At 41.0% G+C, this 24,899-nt stretch overlaps 1 long non-coding RNA gene across 5 annotated transcripts in view; it reads right to left on the bottom strand.

Annotated features, from left to right (window-relative positions):
* LOC102724687 (uncharacterized) overlaps positions 1–24,899 on the bottom strand; it is a 233,269-nt gene that overhangs the window by 133,469 nt on the left and 74,901 nt on the right. The window contains exon 1 of one of the 5 annotated variants that reach the window (XR_001745952.2): positions 8,279–10,651. The exons of the other annotated variants lie outside the window; for them this stretch is intronic. This is a non-coding gene — a long non-coding RNA (uncharacterized LOC102724687). Of the gene's footprint in view, positions 1–8,278; positions 10,652–24,899 lie in introns of those variants that run through there. 5 annotated transcript variants of the gene reach the window in all.

Raw genomic sequence — 24,899 nt, forward strand, 5'->3', positions numbered from 1 at the left:
CTCTCCAGAGAAATACTATGAAATGACCCAGGATCTAGAAAATGTGCTTATAAGCTAGCACTTAGGTGTCAACTTCCCTGATGATCAGCTTTTCTTTTCCCTCCAGTTTTGAAATATAAGTTAAAAGCAATCCTTTGAGAAACTTCATCAGATATGGTAGAATTAAAGCAACATTCCCTGCCTCCATACTGGTCTGTCCACCCACCTCATTCACTTTGTGTTGGGCACCTCTCACCCTAAGTCCAAAAACCTCTCCTGTCTTCCTTATCACCAATGTGAATTCTGGCAGGCAGAGAGGATGTTTGTCCATGGGTTCATGGCATTTGTATTCCAGCTGCATGCTCCACCGTCCTCCCATCACTGACCCTTACATTCTGGCATCCCTTCTTCAGGATGCCAAGTGAAAAGGAGCTGATTTAGAGATTCTCAAAGACTTCCTCTGGTGAATGACAATTTCAAAAGCTATCATGCATTTTTTTTTTCATCCTTGAAGCCCTGGGGAGCCTGACAGAATAAAGTGCAGACACTTTAGAAAGGATAAATGCCACTCAAGATAGACCTCAAAATAAACCCATAGCTTTAAGACTAAGGGCAGGAACGCCTCACTTCACATTTATTGAGCCAAGCGCTTGCCTCGGACCTAAGGATTCAAAGATTAATACCACACAATATTTGCCCTTAAGGAACTCACAGTCTAGCAGAAAGACAGGCACCTTAAATATCTTTAGGAACAATATGGGTCTATAAAACTTTGAAAAGTATACTTGCTGTTTTGATGCCCAGTGTTCATTTCAAATTTTGACTTCCCCAGTGAATTCAGTCCGGGTAGAATGAGTAACTCATGGTATTCTGCCCAAGACCCAAACTCAGTCAACTAGATACCAGTCACGGAAAATCATGTACAAGGTTCTATGGAAATGCAGGGGAGGGATTCATAACTGCCAGGAAATGCCAGGGATGGCCTCCTAGAAGAAGCAATGCTAGAAGTGAGTCATGATAGCCAATTAAGAGTTAGAGAAACAGGGTCAAACATGAGGACATTCTACGAAAAGCATGCACAGAAGAAAAGACAGAAAACTTTTAAAACAGCACATTTGGAGACTAGCCAGTAGCAGGCGTGAAAGGAGTAGAAGTTGAACATGAATGTATATTATATCTCAATAAAAAGTTTAAAAACAATTCTAGTGCTCAGGCCTAACCCCACACCTATTGAATCAGAAGTTCCCCCAGGTAATTCTTTTTTTTTTTTTTTTTTGAGACAGGGTCTTTCTCTGTTGCCCAGACTAGAGTGCAATGGCCTGATCTCGGCTCACTGCAAACTCCGCCTCCCAGGCTCAGGTGATCCTCCCACCTCAGCCTCCCAAGTAGCTGGGACTACAGTTGTGTGCCACCACACCCAGCTAATTTTTGTATTTTTGGTAGAGACGGGGTTTCATTATGTCGCCCAGGCTGGTCTTGAACTCCTGGACTTGAGCGATTTGCCCACCTCAGCCTCCCAAAGTGCTGGGATTACAGGCATGAGCCACTGCACCTGACCTTCCCCAGGTAATTCTAATTGCAGTCTAAAAATCCCAGCACCCTAGGCAATAAAAGGCAAACACCTTTGCTTGCATAGCAGATCCTTCAGTCTGGTACTTGACTTTACTTTCCACTTCTTTTTTCATCTCTTGTTTCTTTTGCTTTTTCATGCCAACAATACTAAAATTCTTATAGATCCACAAACTTACCATGTGAACTTGCCCATTTACAGCAGCTCGTCCTTCCAGGAGGGCTGGCCTCCTCCTGGTTGGCCATCAGGAAAGTTGTCATTCTTTAGGGCCCAACCAGAAGCCCAGCTTCTCTGGAAAGCCTTCCCTGACTCCACTGCACATGAAAGAGTTTCTTCTTCCCATTCCCCCAGCATCTTCTCCCTCTCTCCATTGGAGTGACTGTCTTACTCTTTTGTAACAATTTCCACAAGTCCCTCCACAATAGACTGAGCAAGGACCTTGTCTTCTCTTATTTTGTATCTCTAGCCTAGTGCACATGATCAATACCCAGCAAGTATTTGTGAAAATATGGCAAGGAGGAAGAAATCCACCCTCCCCTTGTCCTGAAAACACCGGATGTACTGGTCATCATTTCTCTCACTCAAGTAAAAAACCTTAAGGTCATTAGAACTTCTTTTGGGAATAGTCAGGGAAGAGGAATCTTTACTTAAATTTGGTTAGGAACTATCTAATTAATCCAAAGCTAAGGAGGTGGAACAGACTGTCCCAAATCAGGTCTTTTTGATATTTCATATAACAACCCCTTGGCCTTTGCCAGTGTTGGAGAACACACAGTTCAATAGTTCTGTCTTCTCAACTAGACCACAGGCCCCTGGGGCCAAAACTGCATCCTGCTCACTTCGAATTCACACGTGACAGACAATGTCTGGCTCAGAAGAGGAACTCACTAGGTGTTTAGGAAGCAAAATAGTTAATGAATTTTAGTCCTGTTGCCCAGATAGGCAACATATCTTAAGAATTCAATCTGCTCTCATGTCCTCCTTAACAGCTGTCACCATCTTTTCTATCTCTTGGAATTTCTTCTTTCCTTCAACAAATTTGTACCAAGAACCTACTTTGTCTAAGTGCTGACATGCAGCAGTAAATTTTTTTAAATGATAATAATAATCTCTGCCCTCAAAGAGCTATATTCTAGTGTGGAAAACAGACAGTAAAAAGGAAAATCAATACCTAAATATTACTTCAAATAACAAGTACAATGAAAGAAATAATGAAGATGTTGGGATATAGCATTTCTGGGTTGAGCAAGCCCAGTAGAACCAGCAAGAAGAATCTATCTGTGCTATGCTGACAATAAGAGACCAAGAAAAGGCTTTCCTAAAAAGGCCCAAGAACCCTCTCTGAAACACAACTGGCACAGGAGACATGGCCCTAGAGGTGTCCTTTGTCCCTACCAGGCCTGAGACCTCTCCTTCACCTAGAGCCACCAGCCCATCATGCAGGCCTGGCGAAGCTACTTCCACCACCTCAGGCAGCACCACCAGAGATCAGCTAAAGCCACAAGGGCACCAGATAATTCAAGCAGACAAAAATGGCACCACAAAGTCTCTGAAAATTAAGTTGCTATTAAAACCATAGCCCATCCATAACCATTGCTTGGTCACAAAATGAGAGGAAAAAAAAACCATAGCCCACAAAAGTAGGCCAGGACTTGCATGCTAAACCTAAACAGAGTGACTGCCTGTCAAAATAAAATATTTAAATAAGATCCAATACTTCCTGATATAATAGCCTAGATATCCCACATATATACCACACACAAGATAACAGTTTTCTTGAAAATACATAAAAATAAAATTCAAAAAAACCTTTTGTCCCTTTATTGGAATAAAATTAACCAGTGAGCTTAAAAATATAAGCTTCTGGGTCAGGTGATTACTGTAGAGAGAGGAGTTAGTAAGGTCTCTCCTTGAAGATGGTGTCTAAGATCGCAAGAAAATGATTTCGAGGTAGAATGAGTAACCTGTGCAAAGATCCTGAGGCAGAAAAGAGCTTGGTTGGTTCAAGTCTTCTGCCAAATCTAACTCATTCATATATGCACATTTCCTCATAGCTTTTGCTCCCTAAAATACAGATTCTTTTTTCCATATGAGTTTTACTAACACTTGCTGTATGGAGAAATACCCATGCAATAACAAAATCAGCAAAAAATGGGGAAGTTACTGAGAACCCAGTAAACCCACAGAAGTCTCAGAATCAATGGGGCATGAATACATCTTGTGCCTCTTCCCTGCATCTCTTTGTAAATAACTCCATAGAGGGTGCTACCTTTCTACCCTACCCCTCCCCAAGGCACGTGCATGCACACACACACACACACACACACACACACACACACACACACACAATTCAGTCTTCCAGCTCACTCTCCTATCTTGACACTTTTCATTTGGAAAATGAATGTCAGTTTGTGAACTTTTTAAGTGATCTTAAATTAGTGATTCTCAACCAGAGCAATTTTGTCCCCCGAGGGACACTTGGCAATGCATGGACACATTTAAATTGTCACAAGTTGGAGGTGGGTGCTACTGGCATCTAGCGGGTAGAAGCATCTAGTAGTGCTGTTAAATGCCCTACAATGCACAGAACAGACTTCCACAACAAAGAATCATCTGGTCCAAAATATTACTGGCCTTATTGATTAGTATAATTTCTACCTCAAGAGAATTCTAAGACCTGTCTCCCAATCCAGCATCTGATCCCAATTTCTCCTTGAAAAATCATCTTAGTCATTCCCAGGAGATCTAAAATACCGCGAGCAGTAATTCCCAAAAGCTGCTCTATGTGTTATATGACAAAATTGTTCTGAGGTCAAATAAGTTTTAGAAAAGTTTGGTCAAACAGAGATAGGTTCCTTTTGTACAGTACTTCTTTGAAACTGGCTAGGTCAATAGCAATGGCTAAGGCCACAGGTCAGAATGAAAATGAGCACCCAATGTTACAGCAAGAGCTCTTTAATGACTACCGAAGACAAAGACAGGGAGACAAGTCTAGAAATTCTGCTGATGGAGGCTGGAACAAAATATCGCTGTTTTTACTCACACCCATCATCTTCACCCAGGAAACTAACTGGGGAAAGTCAGGGAGACACATGGTAACAGTGGTAACAGGGGCAAAGACTCCTAAGTAGGAGTCTAAATCCAAGGTGCATTAATTTCCTAGGGCTAACAAAGTTAGCAAACTGTAACAAAGTTCTACAAACTGAGTAGCTTGAACAACAGAAATGTGTTGTCTCAAAGTTCTGGAGGGTAGAAGTCTAAGATCAAGGTCTTGGCAGGGTTGGTTCCTTCTGAAGGTTGAGAGGGGAAGATGTTTTAGGGCTCTCTCATTGGCTTACATATGGCCATCTTCTTCCTGTATCTCTTCACATAGTATTTCCTCTATGTCTGTCTCTGTGTCCAAATTTCCCCTTTTATAAGTACATCAGTCATATTGGATGAGGGCCAATTCTAATAACTTCATTTTAATTTGATTACATTTAAAAAGACCCTTTCTTCAAATAAGGTCCCATTTCAAAGTACTGAGGGTTAGGACTCCAGCATATCTTTTTGGGGGATGACAAAGATTCTCTGCTTGGCTAAATTTTAATCAATCTCCTGAACCTTCCCCTAGGCCCAACTGTGCACTTCCTTGTAAAATCCAGTTTTAGCAAGAACTCTGCTAAGTCAGTTTAGTAACAGCCCCCTACCCTCAATATCTGATCACCCTATCATACCTCTACCATACCTCTGTTGACCACCCTGGCCTGATCTTCAGCAAGAATCCTATTAGGTCGGTTTAGCCAGAATACCCCCTTACCCCTGATGTTTCTTCTTAGTAATTTTCTATTCACCAACTCCAACCCTGCTCTTGGCTATAAATTCCCACTTGCCCATGCTGTATTCAGAGCTGAGTCCAGTCTCTCTCCATATATTGCAGTGGTCCCTATGCCTGTCTCATTGGTTCTGAATAGAGTCTTGTTTACCATGTTTTGACAAGTATTGAATAATTTTTTCTTTAGCAGGGGACACAGTTCAACCTATAACACAAGTCTAGTCCAAACTCTGTATTGCCCCGTGGTTGTAGTTTCATGGCCTAAAATCCTTTCTTCAGGCTATTAGTGAGTAGTGAGTGAACATATTTGATTTTGGCTACTCGGTGTAGAGGCTGTCAAAAGCTATACAGTAGGAGAGAGGAAGGAAGAGAAGCTGCATGTTGAATAATTGAGGGCTAATTATGGACATTTGGGCCTTACAAGGTAAATGAACTGAGCTATCGCAAACATGTCAGGTTTTACCTTCAGACTTAGTATAACAAGAGTTTAGGAAAAGGCAGCCTGTTCTTCCCACTGTCAGAAAAAATCCCAGAGTCTGTCAGGCCTCAGACACGAAGCTCACATCTGCTGGGAGCCCACCTTTAGTGGCCCCTTCAAACCTCTTCTGTCCCCTACACCTGCTGACATTTATTCATGTGAAATGGCACTGCAAAATGTAGCCAGCGTGTTGATCCTGACCTGAAAGTTGTCAGCACTCATGCACCTCCCTCACAGGCACTGCACTTCCCAAGAGAACAGGCTGCATCCCTTAGGAAATTTGTGCCTCAGAAACTATTTGGTAGCAGGTATGGACAGATAATAAATGAGCTACTGAAGCTGATCTGCTCTGGAGTTTGACTGGGGTCCATGACCCAGGGAGAAGTCATTCCGTAACAACTGTCACTGATAACCATATGGTGCCATTCACTTCTGCACATTTACTTCTCTCTGAAATTTTTAATTTATTTAAAAAACATTCACAATATCCTTACTATGTGCCAGGGACATAACAACTCTATGATAGATACAACTTCTAATCCCGTTTTACAGATGGGCAAGCTAGAAGGCACTGAGCAGTTAAATAATTTGCCCAAGGTCACACAGCCAGTAAGTGGAAGAACCCACCTTTCAATCAGGCAGCCTGGTTTCAGAATCCACGTTTTAACCATGGGGTGCTGCTGCCTCTGCATTGACTTTGAGGTGGGAGAGCTGGGGTGGGAGGTTTCCAAAGATACATGACAAAATTTGTTTAGAGATGATTATTGAGGCAACCCCTGAGTGTTCCATTCTAAATTCTAAATGTATGGACACCATTCACAGAAAATCCATGAGATAATAGAAATACTATTTCTATTCCCATTTACAATTTGGTAAACTGAAAGAAACAAGGATATGAAGTTACCTGCCCAAAGTAGGATGCTTATAATGGTTCCAAAAATAGTGCTACATATTGGAGATATAACCATGGTAAGTGGGGTCCAGTAAAGGAGGTGACCAGGGATCCTGCCCTAACTGAGTTCCACCACATGCAGGGACACAGATGAGTAAACAGGCAACTGCAACACAGTGTGGGAAGAGCCAAGGTAGGGTTCTGTGTAATATGCAAGCATGGGGAGGCAGCCTTTTACTATCCCTTGTGATCTTGAAATGATTTCCTTGAGGTCTGATATTTTGGCTTAAACCTGAAGATTGACTTAGGTAGACACAGAGGTAGAGAAAAGGGGACACTGTTCCAAGGGAGGAAACTGACTTGTAAAATCAGGAAGCAAGACCAAGAAAAATGGTTCATTCCAGGAGCTGAAAGATTTTTGATATGGCTTGGTGTGTGGAATGCAAGGAAATGGAATGGCAAGGTGTGAGGTGAAAAAATAGTGTTAACACCCTAAGAGCAATGAGGACCACTGAGTTAGGAGGTAGGGTAATATGAGTAGGCCTACAGTTCAGAAAGACAAGAGCATGAGTTGGTGGGAGGAAGATTAAAGACAGAGAGATGCTTCCCACTCCTGAGAGTCACTGCTGTAAAGAGCTTAATAGAATGGTGGCCAGCATTAAATTCACTGATTGATTATCTACAGGCAGTGAAAGAGAGAGAAATGTCCAATGTGATTCCTGAGTCTCTGGTTGGAACAATTATGTAAATAATGGTGCCATTTGCTAGCTGGGGAACACCAAAAGAGAAACAAGTTGGGGAACAGCAGTAAAAATGAGTTCCATTTTGGATGTGTTTGGTTTCAAGAGCCTGTAGGACCTCCAAAAGGCAAACGGATAGATGGGTCTGAGCTAGACATAAATCTGGAGCTGAGATGAATATTTAGAGTTAGCAGCAAACAAGGTGGATATAGAAACCAAGAAAGTGGATTCACGACCAGGAAGAGTGAACTAAGGAAAAGAGAAGAGGGTCTCAGTGGACATATCATTTAAGGGCTGGCCAAGAAGAGGAGCCTACAGAGTGGATTGAGCAGGGTCATTCAGAGAGGTAGGAAGAAGCCCAGGCAAGTTGATATCATGGAACCCAAGGGAAGTGAAAGGAATGTTTTCACAGTGTTTGGGCTCTAGACAGGTCAATTAAGACAATAACTGGGAAGTACCCACCAAAGTAAGCCATACTGGTAAAGAAAAATTCTTGTTTCTGAGGGTTTAGGAAAACAAGAGAAAGCCATCTGAGGAGAAATGAAAAACTCAATAAGCAATGGTTTCTGGTCCTTCACTGTTCTGGACCTGGCTGGTAATTGGATGGATGAGTCACTCAAGACCTCTGGGTGACACTTGCAGCACAGGAACACATCTTCAACTTTATTTGGAGGCATTCATGTAATAGTTTCTAATGTTGAACTAATTTTCTATCTTTGGGTTCTTTGTCAGCAATTTCTGAAGAAACCACATTATAGTCAGGGACAGAGTTGGATAAAATCGCAAAGGAGAAAATTTTACTTACAGATCCTTAACTTCCACCTCCTGCTAATGCTCTAGTGTCCTACATTTCATCTCCCGAGTCACCACAATCCCTAAAGGCAATAGTTCCCACAGCTGTGTGGGCTGGCAGCCACATTAAAACTTTTCCCAATATACCTTCCTCCCTCTGCAGCATATCAGACACATCTTTCCTCTGACTGTCTTCTTTAGAGCCCCATGAGCATGAGGTAAACTACCCAGAGGCATAGTAATGTAATAAACAAAGTGATTGCATTAGAATCAGAAAAACCTGCATTTCACCGCTTATCAAAACTATGCAACATTTGGCAAGTCATTTGTCCATTAATCTCTCTGAGCTTCAGACTACCTACCTCTCAAAGGTATACAGATTAGTTGAAAGAATGTGTGTAAAAGCTTTTTTTAATGCAGTATAGATTATATGCAATTTTCCAAACTGTATCTCATAGAATTCTGTGTAGAACAACAGAAGTTTGTCTTGCATGGAGTCAGATTTGTTTGGTGTTTGGTGAAATTATGGACCCTTTTCATGCAAGTATCTGTGAAAATGTGATTTCTGTCTGAAATTCTTGCAGGAAAGAAACATCTCATTTCTGGGTCTGTTTGATTCTGAGAGGTTATGAGCCTCAGGAGGAATTTCCTGTTACTTCATGTTTTAGCAACCCTTATAGAAATAGCAAACACCTAGCATTTTGATGGTGCTTTATTTTGTCCAAAGTACTTTCGCGCCCACGATTTGAAGTTACCCCAGGGTATCTGTTCCAAAGTGTGATAGCACTAAAGATTGAAGACAGAAGTAAATATGAAAAACCCAACTGTCTTCTATTAAGCTGAAGGGGAGAAAGCAATAATTTTCACAAAACTTTTAAGTCTGTAGTGGGCGAAACTGCCTTTGCAAAGATTATGACAGTGAGAGAGTTTAGCATGGCTGACCCCGTCCTGCTTCTAGCCTCACAAGCTGGCTGTCCTTACTCATTCCAATAACCCAAGCTAACCATGGGAGGAATTTAGTTTATAGTTTAACTTTCAATCAAGGATAACAATAGTCCCTCCCCAAAACTAACCCCTTCCTTGCTCAGGGACTGAAACCTCCTTTGTAAAACTAATGAAAGGCCACAAGATTAGGATTATGGGAGGGACCTGAATTCTGCTAAAATCTATGCATGGTTAAATGATAACTAGTCATTGCTTGCTGCTGTAAGTTTCCTAATCGCCCCAATAGAAAACATTGTCATTGTAAAACTTAAGACTAGCATTTGAGATATTTTTCAGACTTTTGCATTTAGACAGACCAACTGATGCCACCCAAACCCTCCAAGACCTGTGACTCAATCAGTCCCATAATCTCCCTCTAGAAACCGACTCACAGCATGAATATAGTTCCAACACTCCTATGATTTTATCCCCAACCCATCAGCAGTGCCCATTTCCTAGACCCTGCCCACCAGAGTATCCTTAAAAATCCTAGCCTCCAAGCTTTTGAGCTTTCAGGGTGGCTGATTTGAGTAATAAACTCTCGTCCTCCTGTTTGGCAGGCCCTGTGATAATTAAACTCTTTCTCTACTGCAACACTGTTTTCTTGGTACATTGGCTTTGTCTGTGCAGCAGGCAAGAAGAACCCATCGGGCAATTACACTGGGACAGTTTCCTGTTAATAAACAGCAGAATAACAAGAAAGAAAAAAAAAACAAGTGTTTCTATCTACATGTGCTGTGCTCATAACACAGGAGAAACTTCAGTTCAAAAGTATCTCACAAAATGATGGGTCAAGGTCCCAGCTTATATAGCATCTCTAACAAACAACAATACATTTAGAAGTGAGAAGACAAAGGCATAAACAGCTTCAGGCTCCCAAAAGGTGGGAAAACAATGGGAATGTGGTAAAGTCTGCTCCCAGATTTTTCTGCCTCGAGTGGCATCAGTCTCTGAGCTAATCAGGCAGAAAGGGGTGAAAGAAGCGCCCCCTGCATATTTTTCACAAGAATTTTTACGGCCTGACACATGTGAGAAAGGAAAGTTCAGAGAGTCCTTTTTTATAATTGCTGCTTCCAAATTGTCTCTAGCTCAAAAATGTTTATGTCAAAGAGGCATATTTGGCGATGAAGTTCTCTGGTTTCCTTCAATGCCAAACATAAAGCTGAGAAATAAAAATAAAATCCTAAGCTCCCCAACCAACTCTTTTTGGCCCAGAGTAACCTTGAAAACTGAGTTCTCAGCCATGATAGGATAGGAGGTCAGACAAGCCTCTTGTTATACCCCCTCCCTCACAACTAGAATTATACTTTCTTCCCTAAGGGCTAAACAGAAGCCAACCCTTTCAAAAGATTCCACTGGCACAGTGGCAAACATCTGTAATCCCAGAAATTTGGGAGGCCAAGGAGGGAAGATTGCTTGAGCCCAGGAGTTCAAGACCAGCCCGGGAGACATGGAGAACCCTGTCTCTACAAAAACCTAGCTGGGCATGGTGGCACATACCTGTAATCCCAGCTACTCAGGAGGCTGATGTAGGAGGATAGCTTCAGCCCAGGAGGCAGAGGCTGCAGGGAGCTATGATCAGCCGCTGTACTCCAGCCTGGTGACAGAGCAAGACCATGTCTTAAAAAAAAAAAAAAAAAGGACTCCACCACTGCTTTAACCAACTGCCTGACGCTGCCCCTCCTTTTGTTGTTTTGGCATACCAACCAACAGCATTTCTTCCTGCTAAGAGACCACTGACCACGGAGCGGTTCTGGCCAGCCTATAGAGAATGCATAGTAAAGGTTTTTGTGTCCTCTGCCTCGCCTTTTGACATCAGAGGGCCAAAAATTCCACCATCAGATCATCCTAACACCGCCATGTTTTGTACATGGGACCCATGAATGAGGCATGAAGCTCAATTGCACATGTGCACATTTCTCCTTTCATAAATATTCATGACTCCTCCTCTGTCTTATATATGTTATATATATTAAGCCATTCCCCTTAGCATAACTTCCTGCTTCCTTTGCTCCTCCCTCGAGGTGTCTGTCCAGCTTCTTACTGAAGGCTATGCTTCCCAGCCTGTCAGAATGGCCCCCCTGCAGGTTGCAACGCTTTATGAGAAATAAAGCTCTCCTTTTCAAATTTATGACTCTTATTCTTCAGCTGACAAAGTGGCAAAAATGTAAAACAAGGCAACTCCTCTCACAAATTTGTATTTGGACAAATATAGTTAGATTTCACAGAAATGGGTTAACTATATTAACACAAAATGAGTTTTTTATTATTAAGATGAATGCATGTGTAACTTTTTAAATTTCTCAATTTTAATTTCAATATTATAAATATCAATAGATATAACTCACATCAACAAAAGCAGAGAGACTCAATTGTTTGTAAGAGTGGACTAAGGTCTTAAGACAAAAAGTTTGAAGACTGCTGCCCTAGTGTAATGCCCAGCAAAATGGAATTTTAAATATTCTTTATGGAAAGAATCATCATTTGGAAATTGCCAGTTGTTGTTTGGTTTTTGATAGTAGTGACACTGAGTTGTCCTGAAGCCTTGCTTATTTCTGGACAAGTCACCAAAATGGCCCCTTGAGTCACTCAACAAACACGCTAGCACCAGGGCCCCACTCCCTGTCCCCACACACATTCCATTAATGGATTAAGCTTGAAGGTTGCCTGAGGGGTGGATAAGTTTGCATAAGAAGCCCAGGGGCTTTGTGAAAAAGAAGGAATTGGGAAATCCATCTCATTTGCTTCCTGCTTTGAAGTTGCCATACTTATGGAAGTTATGAAAGTTAGGAAAGCAGTACCCTCAGGGTCACCCTGGTGTTAGGGCTCAGATGGTCAAAGGGAATCTCACCAGGCCGTAGAGGCAGCTAACCACAGGGAAGTGCCTGTTGATCCATGAACAGACTAAAAAAGCCACATCATTAAAGGAAGTTCTCATTGAGATCCTTGGGCTACTTAGGCATGAGGCTTCCATGAGTGAAGGAGGCACTACTCTCCCACCCTGCCTGAGTCAGTACTGCCAAAGCAGCAGTGGCAGTGCCAGCAGGCTTTGTATGTGGCAACCTCCACACCACCTCACTTTCTGCAGCAGACAGCCCTTGAATGACCCTACCAGATGCCCACGCCGGGGCAGTGACAGTGTGCTTAGGGTACTGAACACTTAACTCTCTCCAAGGCAAAATGAACCAAGGCTCACAGCCTGGATTAAATCACTGGGAATCAGGAACTGGTCACAGGAGGGCTCACCTCCCACCCTCACCTCAGACCCAGAACCTCCTACTCAAAAGTCAGATCAGGCCTCAGGTGTACCAATTAGGGGTGACATCTGAGTCTCTATGGGTGACATTGTTTGCACTCTAAACTGATGACATCAGACATCTCATTTTCAGCTTCATTCCTGTGGTAGGCAGAATAATCTCCCCCTTCCCCAGAAAATGTCCACATCCTAATCCCTGGAATCTGTGAATATGTCACCTTACATGACAAAGGGACTTTGCAGATGTGACTAAGTTTGAAGCTCCTAAACCAATAAGACTATCTTGGCAGACCCTTAAAAGTAGAGACCCTTTCCAACTGCGGAGAGAGAAAGACAGGATGACAGAAGGAGGTGCAGAGAGAGGCAACAAGAGGAAGGCTCTGCCAGCCACACGGAGGAAGGGGCCATGGGCCAAGGACACTGGAAAAGGGATAGAAACAGATTCTCCCCCGGGGCCTTCAGAACTGAAAGTAGTTCTGCCAACAGCTTGATTTTAGCTCTGTGGGACCCACATTGGAACTTCTGACATCCCAGAACTGTAAGATAATAAATTTGTATTGTTTAAGCTGTTAAGTTTGTGTTAAATTGTCACAGCAACACTAGAAAACAAATACAATTACAAAAAAAAAAATACAATTACCAATCAGTGCCTTGCCTTGCTCAAAGCGAATTCCTAAACTCTGAGAATTGTGTGTGGAAGTAACTAGAAGGGACCAGCTGAGCCCAGGTAAATGGACGTCTCTGGAGCGGCTGAATGCTGGGATCCCATCAGCAGGAGACACCGCAGGAAATGTGGCAGGGAGCCCTGTGGCCGGTCACCCCCAGGCCCAGGAGCAAGTGATGCTGAAGATTATGTGAAAGATCATTGACCTCTGTTGCATACACGCTCAAGTCTTCATTAATTTTTTCTTTTTCTTGAGACAGGGTCTTATTCTGTTACTCAGGCTAGAATGCAGTGGTGCGATCACAGCTCACTGCAGCCTCAACCTCAACCTCCCTGGCTCAAGCAATTCTCCCACTTCAGCTTCTCAAGAGGCTAGAACTACAGGCACGCATCACCACGCCTGGCTAATTTTTTATATTTTTTTTGTAGAGACAGGGTTTTGCTATGTTGCCCAGGCTGGCCTCAAACTCCTGGGCTCAAGTGATTCTTCCACCTTGGCCCTCCCAAAGAGCTGGGATTACAGGCATGAGCCACTGCGCCTGGCCTAGGTCTTCATTAAGTATTGAGGTTACCTTATGAATCATCTAGTCCTTGCATCTGCTTGATTCTCCTCCATCAAATGACAAAAGTTATTTTTGTGACATTGTAAACATTTTGTTTGCAAGTGGAGGCCTTGCTCTTGGCTTCCCAGAGGACCCAGGGGAGGTCTTCTCATATTTAACAGTGGGAATAATTAGGACTTCCTCATGGAATCCTCATAAAGATTTAATAAATGATGCATATCAAGTACTTGGCACATCTTAAGTCCCTAATAAGTGTTTTTATTATGATGGAGCCTGGGTACGTCTTTCAAGGGGCCCAAGAGTTACATTTACTTCATTATAAACCGGGCAAATGATACTTAAGGAAAGATTCATCCAGATGTTTGTGCCTCTCCCATCAGTGCAGCTGACGGAGCAAGTCACAGCTGCCAGCCAAATTAAAGTTGGATCATGGCTATTCCCAAGAGCAAAATTTATCCTCAACAACTCAAAGAATAATATTTAACGCTTACTGGGTAATATGGTTTAGCTGTGTCCCCACCTAAATCTCATCTTGAATTGTAGCTCCCATAATTCCCACGTGTTGTGGGAGGGACCCCGTGGAAGATAACTAAATCATGGGGGCAGTTTCCCCCACACTGTTCTCCTAGTAGTGAATAAGTCTCACAAAATCTGATGATTTTATAAGAGGTTTCCTCTTTCACTTGACTTTTAGTCTCTCTTGTCTGCTGCCATGTGAGATGTGCCTTTCACCTTCCGCCATGATTGTGAAGTCTCCCCAGCCACATGGAACGCTGAGTGTATTAAACTTCTTTTTCTTTATAAATTACCCAGTGTCAGGTATGTCTTTATCGGCAGCACAAAAATGGACTAACACACTGGGGACTGGCCATGTGGCTCTGTCTTGCAGATCTGGAGTAAAGCACAGTGCAGAGAGGTTAGCAAATTGCCCACAATCACACAGGTGGGAAGTGGTGAAGCCAGGGCACAAACCCAGTCAGTCTGCTCAGAAATCCATGTCTTTAGTCACTGAAACATACTATCTCTAGATGAAGCCATAATATGAAATAGAAATAGTGATAAATCACACCTATTATGTACTGATGTCCTCACCGAGAAAGAGACAAGTATTAATTGGTTATTAATGACTTAAAGGAGCCTACCTTCTCAAAAGGTCAAAGATTTCCTGTCAACTTTTCAATACCACGATGTGCAACAGGTTTAACTGACCTTACTTAACTACTTCTGTTGGGTGTTAAGCAGTGTTTGAAATTTTTGAACAAAACTAACACAGATGCTCCTTGACTTACAATGGGGTTATATACCAATAAACCCATTGTAAGTTGAAATCACTCTAAGTGGAAAGTGTATTTAATATAAACTCATCATAAAGCCAAAAACTTCTAAGTCAAACCATGGTAAGTTGGGGACCGTCTATGTGCTGATGAGGTTCAGGATATGCTACCCAAAATATGGCACCTTGGCATATTGAATATTTTATGCTGAAGGAATTTGAGAGATAACATATACGGGAAGGTGTCTGAATTTCCCTCCCCCTCTCCCCTGCAGCAGGTCATAAAACCTAGAAAGAGTTTTCTAAACTTCCCCTGAAGCAGGTCATAAGACTCTCATGTGAGAGGCGCCCGCCCTATACCCAGGTGAAAGGAGCATCCTTTTCCCTGAAGACACAGAAGAATCTGAACAAACAGGCCCTGCTAAGTTTCCCCCAGTTTATTACCACTGATCACAATCTTTGCCCTATCGTTTCTCCATGACCGTCGACTCTTCATCAAGCCTACTATAAAAACACACTCAGGTTTAACAGTTCCTCAGGGTCTTCACTTTTTATAAAGTTTCTTGTGTCACATAAAACTTATATTAAGTAACTTTGTGTGCTTTTCTCTTGATGATCTGTCTTTTGTTATAGGGATCTCAGCCAGGAATCTAGGATGGTTAGAAAAAAAGATATTTCTCTCTAACATACCTTTTAATATTATTTCAGGAGGAACATGAGAAGTACTTTTCAGATGAGTTATTCTTCTTGGTTCTATAGGCCCAGGATATTGTGCAAAGAAGGAAGTGGTTTGAGAAGCTATGGAAAGGAAATATTAATCCAGACATAGACCTAGGACTTGAAGGTATCCATTTAATCCTCTCTCCTTTGAGTTTCTCCCTAGGAATTCTGCTAACACGGTTTCCTTGCTGGGTAATTGGTTATCTTGCTTTTCAGTGGCTGCCCCAGTGAACCCAGCTGGGTTGTTGGTTGATCTCATCCCTAAGCCATTACTTTCTACTTTGCACTTTCCCTGGCTAGATCTCAAGAGGCTATTTAAACACTAATTACTTCTCTTAGTCCCTCATGAAGGAAGCCCCCTCTGAGACCAGGGAAGAGTCATTTGAGGTGTAAATGAGAGAAAATGTCATAGGAACGGGAGGTTTGAGCCCCTTCCTCCCAGCCTGAGGCTGTGTCTTTGTAGCTGCCCTTCCAGTGCCAGTTTGTCTGGGCTCCCCTGTGATTTCCTTTCTTCTTGTGTTTCTTAGTACTCCTGTAAGATCGTCAGGGTATTTGGGCCAGACTATGAAATTAAAGTCCTTTACGCTTAGTTTTCTTCCTTTCCCTACTCCTCATTCCACCATCTCTGCAAACACCATCCCTGCAAAACTACTCTGGAAATATCTTAACCAAAGCTTTTCCCCCAGATGAGGCAACATAGCTGAGTCTGTCATATAATTTGGTGGGTAATTGGTCCTTTGTATCTAAGCCAACTACCTCCTGCCTGCATCACAGATAATATAATTAGCAGCATAGGTAAGAAAATATGAGTAGATTATTTTTTATATGTACATATTCATAGATTTAAAGGTGAAACGATATGATGTCTATAAGTTATGTTTAAACAACTCAGCAAAAATAGATGAAGCAAATATGACAATGTTAATTAAAAATCTAGATGTGTATATTGCATGTTTATTATACTATTTTCTCTCCCACTTGGAGTATTTGAATTTTTTAAAAAAGTTTTTTTAAAGAATAAAGAAAATTAAGGAGGAAAAAAGAAAAATACTGTGGTAGAGGACTATTTCTGATGTCCTGCAACATATGGTTCCCGTCAAGCCTATACCTTGAGTCTACACCTTCAGCTTGTTGGTGTTTATTTCCAAAGCCTTCATTACCTCAACAACACTAAAGCTCGCAACCTTCTGTCTGCTCATTACTCTTGGCAGGGCCTGCAAACTCTCAGATTCCCTCTTCAGTTGCCTCTTGCAGATCTTCAATCAATTACAGCCCCAAAATTGCAAACTGCAGCACTCCAAGGTGGAGTCTTATGTGTGCCCCTGAGCCTCTCACCTGTGCATTTGCCTAACAGGGCCAGGTAGGGTCAGACAGCCACAACTGTGAGCATTTCACGGCACCTGGCAAAGGCTGCTGGCACCCTGCTAGGGCTGTTCTTCACACTGCCCATGTCTATTCTCACCACCTTCTTTTGTTCAAGTTGTTCTGTTACACTGGATACCCTCCATCCTTTTCTCAATTTCCAAATCCTATCTTTCAATACTCAACCAAGTTAATATACTTCAATCTTTAATAAATCCAAAACGCTACCTGTCCATCTGAGTTTCCGCACGGTAGCCAAGTTTACTCTCACTTGTGGACAAGGTAGCAGTGGTCACTCCCCACTTAGTGACTATGATTGGATCACCCAAATCTAACTGTTGACCACCAGCTAAAGAGCCCTTGAACTTTCATCTAGAGGGGAGCAATACAATGATGGTAGGCAAGGCAAGATTATCATTGTACAGCAACTTTGCATGGAAGTTAGGGCCAGGTGTATGAATAGGTTTCCTCTTGGAGGCTGACATGGTATCAGTAGTCATGACTCGAAGGGGAGGAGGATTTTGAGACTCCTATCAGGACTTGGGAAGGAGTGACATAACTAATTTGTGATATTTGCCATGGATACAGGGATGGGGGAAAGTGCCAAACACTATGTATTTGGATCCCTGGCTCAGGTCAGTAGGATACCAACAGTTCACTACAGCAGATAACAAATAGAAATTTAAAAAGCCAAGAGCATTAAAGCATCTACCAGATGATGCACTTTGAATTCAAGATTTCTGGAGGAATGCAAGCGTAATTAGGGAAAAATAGAATCTTAAATAATGGTCAGCCACCAATACCATAGCAATTCAAATGATGTAACTGTCGCCTCATTGCACCATTGTATTCATTCAACCACTCATTTATCCATTTAACAAATGTTTTCTGAGAACCCACTAAATGTACCACATACTAATATAAACAAAATATAGCAGGTGTTACAGCACAGTGTTTAAGCATGGGCTCTGAATATCTTAGCTTCAAATCCTGACTCTACCACTTACAAACAAGTTTTCTAAAGTTACTTATAACAGTGTCTAGCACATCAAAAGCCCTCAACAAATGTCAGTGGTTACTATTATGATCATCATCATGATCATCTGGTAGTGGTAATAAAAGGAAGCTAGTGATCTAAGAAAGGAATACAGTATAGGAGTCTTCATGGGAGAACTAGTTACATATTCTGATAGAACAATGCACTCTTTTTGTAACATTTATTTTACTCTAATTATTCAGTATTTGTCTTCCCTGCTAGCTTGTAAATTCACAGGGGCAAACAACATGTCTGCTTTATTCTCTACTATATCCCTGACCCATAATAGATGCTCAGCAAATATTTCTTGACTGATTATGCTAGTGAATTAGTATACAAGAACCATAAAGAGGCTGACACCACTCACCGGTCAGCTCACTCTCCCCTCTCCGAGGGTGTTACCCCGCTTAATAAACCTTTTGCTGTTTTGCTTTAAAAAAAAAAAAATACGTAAAGAGAAGTGCAGCACAAACAGAGTGAGACCACTCAGGGGCCGTAATCATTCAGCCCTTGCATGAGGGCAGGTTTGGGATTGTCAGAGTCATTCGAACCAGAGCGACTCCATTTTGAGTGAGGGCTAGGAAAATGAGGCTGGGACTTGCTGGGCTGCATTCCCAGAAAATTACGCATTCCTAGCCCCTAGATGTTTATGGTTAAGGGAACAAATTAATAATGTTTACTATAACAAACTCAGATTTGGGAGCGTCCAGATATCCCAATATCTGGAGAACAAAGGCATTCCTAATTTTGCTTTAAAGATAATATTATCAATTCTTGCAAAATATAGTAATGAAGAAAATTAATCCTTTATCACAAACCTTTGTAGCAGAACACCTCCCCCCATATATACAAGCATTGTACCTAGGGTGGATGCGTTCCTCCTCGTACTTTCAGGAACGTCCTACTCTGTCTATAGAGCACCTGTCCTTTCACCACTTTACTTTCTTAATAAACTTGCTTTTACTTCGCACTGAGGACTCGCCCTGAATTCTTTCTTGCACGAGATCCAAGAACCCTCTCTTGGGGTCTGGATCGGGACCCCTTTCCGGTAACAGGATGAAGAGTTTTAGTCACCAGAAGAAACACAGCCCACTTCATAATTTTTGAATTAAAGCAATCCTATTAAATGAACATAAGTTCAATAGGTATTTTAATGCCACACATAATCAATTATGCAAAAAGTTTTTCTGATTTTCCATGGATTTCAGTGAAGAGGGAATTCTAATATAGATGTTATAATAAAACACAATGAGCCCCTTCTCTTCTCTTCTATAAAGGCAAAGATATATTTTCCAATTCATTTTTGCTGCAACTTCCCAAAGCAGACTCAAAGCTTGCCAAACTCAAATATTGTTAGAACTCGAACAATTCCAAAGCTGACAGGAAGGCCAGTTTTTAATCACCTCTGGGATGTTCACTTTCAGTAAAGATATTTAGGGCTAAGAAAGAAAAAGCCCAAATATAGCTCTAAGATGTTGAGCTATCTACTTTTATAACTCCCTTGGTGATAGAATTGTTGTTGCTTTTCAAATCCTGCTGCAGTTTGACCCTTCCCAGTAGGAACTTGGTGATAAATAATGCCTTTAATTGCTTTTCCTCCTGCCCTCGCAGCTGGTAGGAGAAGTGATGTGTGTATCACAAAGAAATGCTGAACCAAATTTTAAGGACAGAAAGGTAGGGATGTAGCTGTTGGGCTCTGCCTTCTTCCTGCATGGTGGGGGAGCCTCCAAACCTCTCTTTGTTAAGGACAGCAGCTCAGCCCAGGTGCCACTGAGTGGTCTTGTTCCCCATTGTCATTGCCGCTCCAGCTTATGACTGACAGAGAAGACTTCCTAGAGTCTCAGCCTTTGGTCCAGCTTTCCCCATCTGCCTCAAAGCCCTGGGGAACGTGAGTTAATGAACCAATGAACTGTGTTGCCTTCCTGGTATCCTTTGCTGATAGTTATTTGATGCAAGAGCTCAGGGACTCAAAATGCCTCTTTTAGGTCACAGGGAACCACGGCTTTTCTGATGCAGTCAATCAACTTGGAGTGTGCAGCAGGAGCTAAGGCTGTATGAATGGTGTCCTGCCTCAGTGCCTCTGCTGGAATCTGATCAAATAGGGAAGCATCGAGGAGGGGAGAGGGTGATGATGGGCAGTGAATGTGGCTTTGACTTACAAACTGACCTTCATATCATTTGAGATGATACAGTAATTTTCCCAAAAGACAAATTGAATTTATATCATTAGTTTCCCCCAACTAGTGAAATCCTTTCTGATAACTTTATTCTTTTGCTTTTAATACTGACTCCTTAGGAGAACTGGTATGGATGGGGAGGGAATAGAGGGATTGGGACAGCCTCAAGCAGTAGATTGCCTTGAACTTTAAAAAGACAAGGATCTAAAACTCCAAGGGACTCTTGCCAAGAGAACACATACAAGATGTGCAGAGACTTAATGATTGTAAAATGTATCCATGGGGTAATAGATGTCATTTGTCCCCTCTGACTCTTGCTTCCTCTTTGATGTAGTTTACTTAAGATTTCATAGAGGAAACTGAGAAACAAGGTTACATTATACACCCTACAGGATTCAACTTAGAATTACTCAACTTGGGGATAAAGAAAATGTGGTATATATACAAAATGGAATACTAGTCAGCCTTAAAAAAAAACTAGAAAGAAAATTCTGTCATTTGCAACAACATGGATGGACCTGTAAAGCATTATACTAAGTGAAACTAGCCAGATACGTGATCTCACTTATCTATTAATCTAAAAAAGTGGAACTCATAGAAGTAGAGAGTAGAATGGTGATTACCAGAGGCTTGGGGCTGAGGGGAGTGGAGGGATGGAATCGGGAGTTGTTGGGCAGAAGATATGAAGTTTCAAATAGACAGGAGGAATAAGTTTTGAGATATATTGCACAGCAGATAACTATAGGCATTAATATGTTTCAAAATAACTAAGAGAGTAAATGTCAAATGTCCCACAACAAAAAATAAGTGATGAGATAGATATGTTAATTAGCTTGATTTAATCATTTCATATTGTTTACATATATCGAAACATCACATTGTACCCCCATAAATGTACACAATTATGATTTGTCAATTTAAAATAATATTAATTTTAAAAATAGAAACTTTTTAAAATTATCTATTTGATATTTCAGTTTCCCCCAAGTCCCTCTTCCAGCTAACTACCCCTGGGGCATTTCTCTCTGATTCTGGCATCTTCCTCCACAATTATGAAAACAATTTCACTGCACTCCAGTTTCTACCATCAAGTTCGCATACCCCAATTCATCTCAGGTTCTGCTGAACCAATGGTCTTTCAGTTAACAGAACCTCCCCCCATGAAAAGTAATTGCTTACCATTTTTCATTACTTGCACAAGTGCTTCAGGTTAAAATAAAAGAAGCCATCTGGATATCACCCAGTTTCTGCTGTGTGTGGCTGGTGAGGAAAGTTGAGAGGCAGAATGGCGAGATGGAGAGAAGGTAAAGCCCTTCCCCCAAAAATGGGCCCAATAAACTAAATATTGTACTTATGTCTGAGTTGTCTCGGGAATTTTAGTTTTAAGTTTTCTAAAGACCAATCCCCTTAGGAAAATTGAGAAAACAAAATATACTATTTCTATGACAATAGAGAGATGTCTAAATCTATATGTTGACTTCACTAAGTGCATCTTTGTGTAATGGTCCAAAGTCTCATTTTACTAGATGAACAGTAATTTAAATGTTTAAAAATGAAAGTATCCTGTTTCAAAATGTTGAATTTGCATGAGCTACTGGCTCCCTACCACAAAATCAACTCTGAAGGAAAAAAAAAAAGGAAACTTAGATTTACAAAAGAGTGACTATTCTTTTCTTGCATACTTAGAATATTAACAAAAATTGAACATGTGCCAGGCTATTAAAATAACAATACATTTCAAATAATTAATACCTTACAGACTTGGCTCTCTGACCATAATCCAATAAACTGTTAAATCGTAACAGAAGAATAACTTTTTCAAAAAAACTCACATGATTAAAAAGTAATGTATTACCAAATAAGTCTTTGGTTAAAGCAGAAATAAATATTTAGAACTGAATGATAACGATACTACAAGACAAAATTTTGAGGTATGCAGCTAAAGCTGTACTTAGGGAAAAGTTATAGCTTTAAATATATTTACCGGGTAACAAATATCTAAAATAGGTGAGTTAAGGATTTAACTCAAAAAGTTGCGAGTTACAGAGCAAACCCAAAGTGACAAGAAAGAAGCAAATAATAAAGATAAAAGATTTTTAAAAACTAAAAATAGAAGACAAATAAAAAGTTAATTTTTGTAAGATTAATAAAATAGGGTCTTGGCAATACTAATCAAGAGAAAATGAAAATAAACAAAATGCATAAAGAAAGAAAATATCTAGACCCAACAGAGGATTACTTAAGCAGCTGTACATTGACAAAGTTGAAAATCTAGATAAAATGGAAAAATACCTAGAAAAATGTAAATGGCCAAACTTGGTACAGGAAGAAATAATGAACTTGAATATATGAATAAGTATAAAAGAAATTGAATCCGAAAAAATCCCAGTCCCAGATAGCTTTACAGCTAAGTTCCAACAAACTGTCTTATAAAAACTGTCTTGTAGGCTGGACACAGTGGCTCACGCCTGTAATCCCAGGACTTTGGGAGGCCAAGGTGGGCAGATTACTTGAGGTCAGGAGTTCGAGATCAGCCTGGCCAACATGATGAAACCCCGTCTCTACTAAAAAATACAAAAAATTAGCCAGGTGTGATGGTGAGCACCTGTAATCCCAGCTACTTGGGAGGCTGAGGCAGGAGAATCGCTTGAATGCAGGAGGCCAAAGTAGCAGTGAGCCAAGATCGTGCCATTGCACTCCAGCCTGGGCAATGGAGTGAGACTCTGACTCAAAAAAAACAAAAAACAGACAAACAAAAAACCTATCTTCTACAAGTTGGTACAGAAAATAGAAAATGAGTAAAAGATGCCCAGCTCATTTTATAGTGCTAGTGTAATCTTTTACTCAAAACTAGATAAGAAAAATGGAAAAAAGAGAAATTATAGGCCAGTTTCATTTATAAACATAGTTGCAAATATCCTAAATATTAGCTAACTGAACTCGACAGTGTATTTTTTAAATGCATAATAATCAAGTAAATCATATCTTAGTTGATGGACTTCATGATATGCTACCTGAAAATACGACAGCTTGGCATACTGAATATTTCAGCTGAAAAAGTTTGAGAGAAAGCATATGCAGGGCCCGGCACGGTGGCTCAAGCCTGTAATCCCAGCACTTTGGGAGGCCGAGACAGGCGGATCATGAGGTCAGGAGATGGAGACCATCCTGGCTAACACGGTGAAACCCCCGTCTCCACTAAAAATACAAAAAAATAGCTGGGCGTGGTGGCAGACGCCTGTAGTCCCAGCTACTCGGGAGGCTGAGGCAGGAGAATGGCGTGAACCCAGGAGGCGGAGCTTGCAGTGAGCCGAGATCACGCCACTGCACTCCAGCCTGGGCGACAGAGCGAGACTCCATCTCAAAAAAAAAAGAAAGAAAGAAAGAAAGAAAGATAGCATATGCAGTAAGTTCTCTCTGACCTTCCCCTGACCTTCTTTCCTGAAGCAGGTCATAAGACCCTCATGTGAGAGGTGTCTTTTCTGTTCCTGGAGGAAAGGAACATCCTATCTCTGAAGACACAGAGTCACAGAGAAGAATCTGAACAGGCCTTACTAAGTTTCCCCCAGTTTATTACCATTAAATTAGATCATACTCTTTTAGCTCTATCCTATTTCTCCATGACTCTCCACTCTCATCAAATCTAGCATTAAAATGCATCGGTTCACCTGTTTCTGCATCCTCATTTCCTTTTGAAGTTTCCCGTGTCACATAAAACTTACACTAAATAAATTTGTAAGCTTTTCATGTATTAATCTGTCTTTTGTTATAGGGACCTCTGCCATAAACCTAGGATGAATAAAGAAAAAGACATTTTTCCTCCCCTATGCAGGGATGCAAAGGAATCTATCTGTGTAATTATTCATCACATTACAGATTAGGGAGGAAAAAGGCATATGATCAACTAAATCAACTTTTAAAGCATTTGAGAGTATGTATTCAAAAAACTTAAACTCAGAGTCTTGAAAATATATTTGTCCACCCATGTTCATAGCAGCATTGTTTACATTAACCAAGAGGTAGAAGTAACTCAAGTATCCATCAATGGTTGAATGGATAAACAAAATGTGGTATTTATTATACAATGGAATATTATTTGGCCTCAGAAAGGAAGGAAATTCGGACACATGCTACAACATGGATAAACTTTGAGGACATTCTGTTCAGTGAAATAAGCTAGTCACAAAAAGACAAACATTGTACGATTCCACTTATATAAGGTATCAAGACAAGTTAACTTTGTTGAGACAGGAAGTAGAATGGTGGTTGCCAGGGGCTGGAGGCAGTGTGGAATGAAGAGGTATTGTGTAAAGAGTAAAGACTTTCCCTTTTGCAAGATGAAAAAGTTCTATAGATTGGCTGCAAAACAATGTGAATATACTTAACACTACTCAAGTATATACTTAAAAATGGTTAAAATAGGAAATCTTGTGTTCAATGTATTTTACCACAATTAGCTAAATAAATACATACATGTATATGTATTTATACATGTATACAACATGTATATATTTCCTCTCCGCTAAAAAATAATAAGCTACAGAGATAGCATTGCAGGTTATTAGGGGAAATAATAGATTTTTTTGCATAGACTTTATT

Source organism: Homo sapiens, chromosome 8 (genome assembly GCF_000001405.40).
Source record: "Homo sapiens chromosome 8, GRCh38.p14 Primary Assembly".
Taxonomy (NCBI): domain Eukaryota; kingdom Metazoa; phylum Chordata; class Mammalia; order Primates; family Hominidae; genus Homo; species Homo sapiens.